Genomic DNA, 3,946 nt, shown 5'->3' on the forward strand with positions numbered 1-3,946 from the left:
ACTCATCAATAACAAGAAAAACCCCAAATAATCTCATTAAATAGTGGGCAAAGGATATTAATAGATATTTTTCAAAATAAGACATACAAATGGCCAAGAGGCATATACAAAACGCTCAACATCACTAATCATCAGGGAAATTAAAACCATGATGAGCTATCATCTTGTACCAGTCAGAATGGCTATTATTAAAAAGACAAAAAATAACAGATGACAAGGATATAGAGAAAAGGGAATGCCAGTCACTGTTGGTGGGAATGTAAATTAGTACAACCTCTTTGGAAAACTGTATGGAAATGTATCAAAGAACTAAAAATAGAAGTGCCATTTGATCCAGCAATTCCACTACTGGGTATCTACCCAAAAGAAAATAAATCATTATATCAAAAAGATACCTACACTTGCATGTTTATCACAGCACAAAATTACAATCACTATAGCATAGATGTGGAATCACTTAAGTGTCCATCAATGGATGAATGGATAAAGAAAATGTGGTATATATACACAATGGAATACTATACAGCCATAAAAAAGAAATCATGTCTTTTGTAGCAACATGGATAGAACTGGAGGCCATTGTCTTAAGTGAAGTAAGTCAGACACAGAAAGACAAATACTGCATGTTCTCACTTACAAATGGAAGCTAAATAATGTATATACGTGGACTGAGAGACAATGGAACCTGGGAAGGGTGGAAGAGTGTGAGAGGGTAGATGATGAGAAATTACTTAACAGGTACAATATACATTATTTGGGTGACGGATACACTAAAAGCCCTGACTTCACCACTTCACAATATATCCATGTAACAATATTGCACTTGTATTTCTTAAATGTATAAAAACAAACAAATAATAAATGAGATATACGTTTGTTAGCTTACTCTTTTCTGTCTGTGGAAAAAGTATCATTAAGTATCTTCCCACTGCCATCTGTCTAATTCTGCCATCTGCCATCTGCCACTCTAAGTCAGGGTCTCCTAAAGAGACCAAACAGCTGTGGAAGGTCTTCATCAAAGGCTTGGTGAAACAACCAACGGGAGTCTGAGGAGCCATTGTGAGCAATGGGAAACACTCACAGAATGTGTGGTAACGAGAGATCCAAACACCTAGCGCTCCAGGAGCTTTGGGCTTGTCACCTATGCCAATTTAGAGGAGGGGAATGCAGCCATGAATCAAGGCCACACAAAGTAGATGGAAGAGTTGTGGAAACAAAGGGAGTTGTCTCAAGCGAAGATTCCCAAAGACTAGGTGCCCACTTAACTGTGAGAAAGATATTTGTTGGTGCTATTAAAGGAGACATTGAAGAGCATCACCTAAGAGATTATTTTGAACAGAATGGGAAAATTTAAATGATTGAAATCATGGCTGTCTGAGGCAGTGGCAAGAAAAAGGGCTTTGCTTTTGTAACCTTTGACAACCGTGACTCTGTGGATAAGACTGTCATTCAGAAACACCATACTGTGAATGGATATAATGGGAAGTAAGGAAAGCACTTTTAAAAGCAAGAGATGGCTTCACGAAGCCAAAGAGGTCACAGTGGTTTTGGAAACTTTGGTAGTAGCTGTGAAGGTGGTTTTGGTGGAAATGACAATTTTGGTCATGGAGGAAACTTTAATGGTTGTGTAGGCTTTAGAGGCAGCTGTGGTGGTGGTGGATATGGTGGCAGTGGGCATAGTTATAATGAATTCTGTAATGTTGGTGCTTAGGGAGGAGGAAGCCCTGGTTACTCTGGAGGAGGAAGCAGAGGCTACAGAAGTGGTGAACAGGGTTATGGAAACCAGGGCAGTGGCTATGGCAGGATTGGCACCTATGACTGCTATAACAATGGAGGAGGCAGAGGCAGCATTAATGCTAGCAGTGGAAGCAATTTTGGAGGTGGCAGAAGCTACAATGATTTTGGCAATTACAACTGTCAGTCTTCAAATTTTGAATCCATGAAGGGAGAAAACTTTGGAGGCAGAAGTTCTGGTTCCTATGGTGGTGGAGGCCAATACTTTGCCAAACCATAAAACCAAGGCAGCTGTGGTGGTTCCAGTAGCAGCAATAGCTACAGCAGTAGCAGAAGATTTTAGTTACTGCCAGGAAACAAAGCTTAGCAGTAGAGGAAAGCTAGAGAAGTGATAAGGAAGCTATAGGTTACAAGAGGATTTGTGAACTGGGCCAAGCACAGTGGTGGCAGGGCCTAGCTACCACACACACAAAAAAAGGGACATGTTTTAGACAATACTCATCTGTATTAGAAAAAAACTTGAGGAATGTAGTTGTGACTAATTGTATAACAGCTTAATGTTTCTGTTCTGTGGAAAGTGTAAAGCATCCCAACAAAAGGGGTTTAATGTAGATTTTTTCCACTCATGCTGTTGATTGCCAGATGTAATAGTCTGTCTGAACATGATGCTGAATAAATATGTCTTTTTTAAAAAGTGAATGGTGCTGGGAAAACTGGATATCCATATGCAAAAGAATGTTCCCCTATTTCTCACCATACACAAAAATCAACTCAAAATATGTTAAAGACGCAAGTGTAAGACCCAAAACTATAAAGCTACTAGCAGAAAATATAGGGGAATCACTTCAGGACATTGGTCTAGGGAAATATTTTATGCCTAAGACCCCAAAAGCACAAGTATCAAAAACAAAAACAAAAACAGACAAGTGGAACTTGATTAAACTAAAAAGTTTCTGCACAGCAAAAGAAACAATCAATAAAGAGAAAATCTCTTGAATGGGAGAAAATATTTGCAAACTATTCATTCAGTCAGAGACTAATATCCAGAATATACAAGGAACTCAAACAACTCAACAATAAACCAAACAATCCCATTAAAAAGTGGGCAAAAGACATGAATAGATATTTTTAAAAATAAGACACAGAAAAGGTCAACAGGTATATGAAAAAATACTCAATATTCCTAATCATCAAGGAAATGCAAATTAAAATCGCAATGAGATATCATCTTACCCCAGTTAAATAGGCTGTTATTAAAAAGACAGAAAATAACAGATGCTGGTGAGGATATGGAGAAAAGGGAATTCTTATGCACTGTTGATAGGAATAAAAACTAGTACAACCACTATGAAAAACAGTATGGAGATTTATCAGAAAAACTAAAAACAGAACTATAATATGATCCAGCAATCCCACTACTGGGTATTTATCCAAAGGAAAAGAAATCAGTGTATCAGAAAGATACCTGTACCGTCATGTTTACAGAACTATTCACAATAGTCAATATATGGAATATATGGAATCAACCTAAGTGTCTCTCAACAGGTGGATGGATAAAGAAAGTGTGCTATATTTACACAATGGAATGCTATTTGGCCATAAAAATAATAAACACATGTTATTTGCAGCAACATGGATAGAACTGGAGGTTACTATGTTAAGTGAAATTAAGCTTGGCACAGAAAAACAAATATCACATAATCACATGTTCTCACTCATCTATGAGAGCTACAGAAGTTGATCTCATGGAGATTGAGAGTTGAATGATAGTTACGAGAAGCTGGGAAGGGTGTTGGGGGTTGGAAGAATGAATAGAGTTTGGTCAGTGAGTAAAAACATGCAGTTAGATAGAAGAAATAAGTTCTAATGTTTGATAACAGAGTAGGGTGATTATAGTTAACAACAATATATTGTATCTTTCAAAACAGCTAGAGGAAAGGACTTGAAATATTCCCAACACATAAAAATGATAAATACTTGAGGTGATAGGTACCCTAAATACCCTGACTTGATCATTACACATTCTGTGCACGTAACAAAATATCACATGTACCCCATAAATGTGTACAGGTATTACGTATCAATTAAAAATAAAGTGGCAAGTTAATTTTTGACTAGGCTGTTTCCTAGAGAAAATAACTAATTTTGATAATGATAGACCACACTATGGTCTGAATTTTGGGTTTGCCCTCCTGGCGGCCTACTGAACAAC

The 3,946-nt window shown here is 37.4% G+C and overlaps 1 pseudogene; it reads left to right on the forward strand.

Moving 5' to 3' along the window:
• On the forward strand, positions 967 to 2,274 carry HNRNPA1P24 (heterogeneous nuclear ribonucleoprotein A1 pseudogene 24; annotated as a pseudogene).
• Positions 2,275 to 3,946: the final 1,672 nt, after the last annotated feature.

Source organism: Homo sapiens, chromosome 3 (genome assembly GCF_000001405.40).
Source record: "Homo sapiens chromosome 3, GRCh38.p14 Primary Assembly".
NCBI lineage: Eukaryota > Metazoa > Chordata > Mammalia > Primates > Hominidae > Homo > Homo sapiens.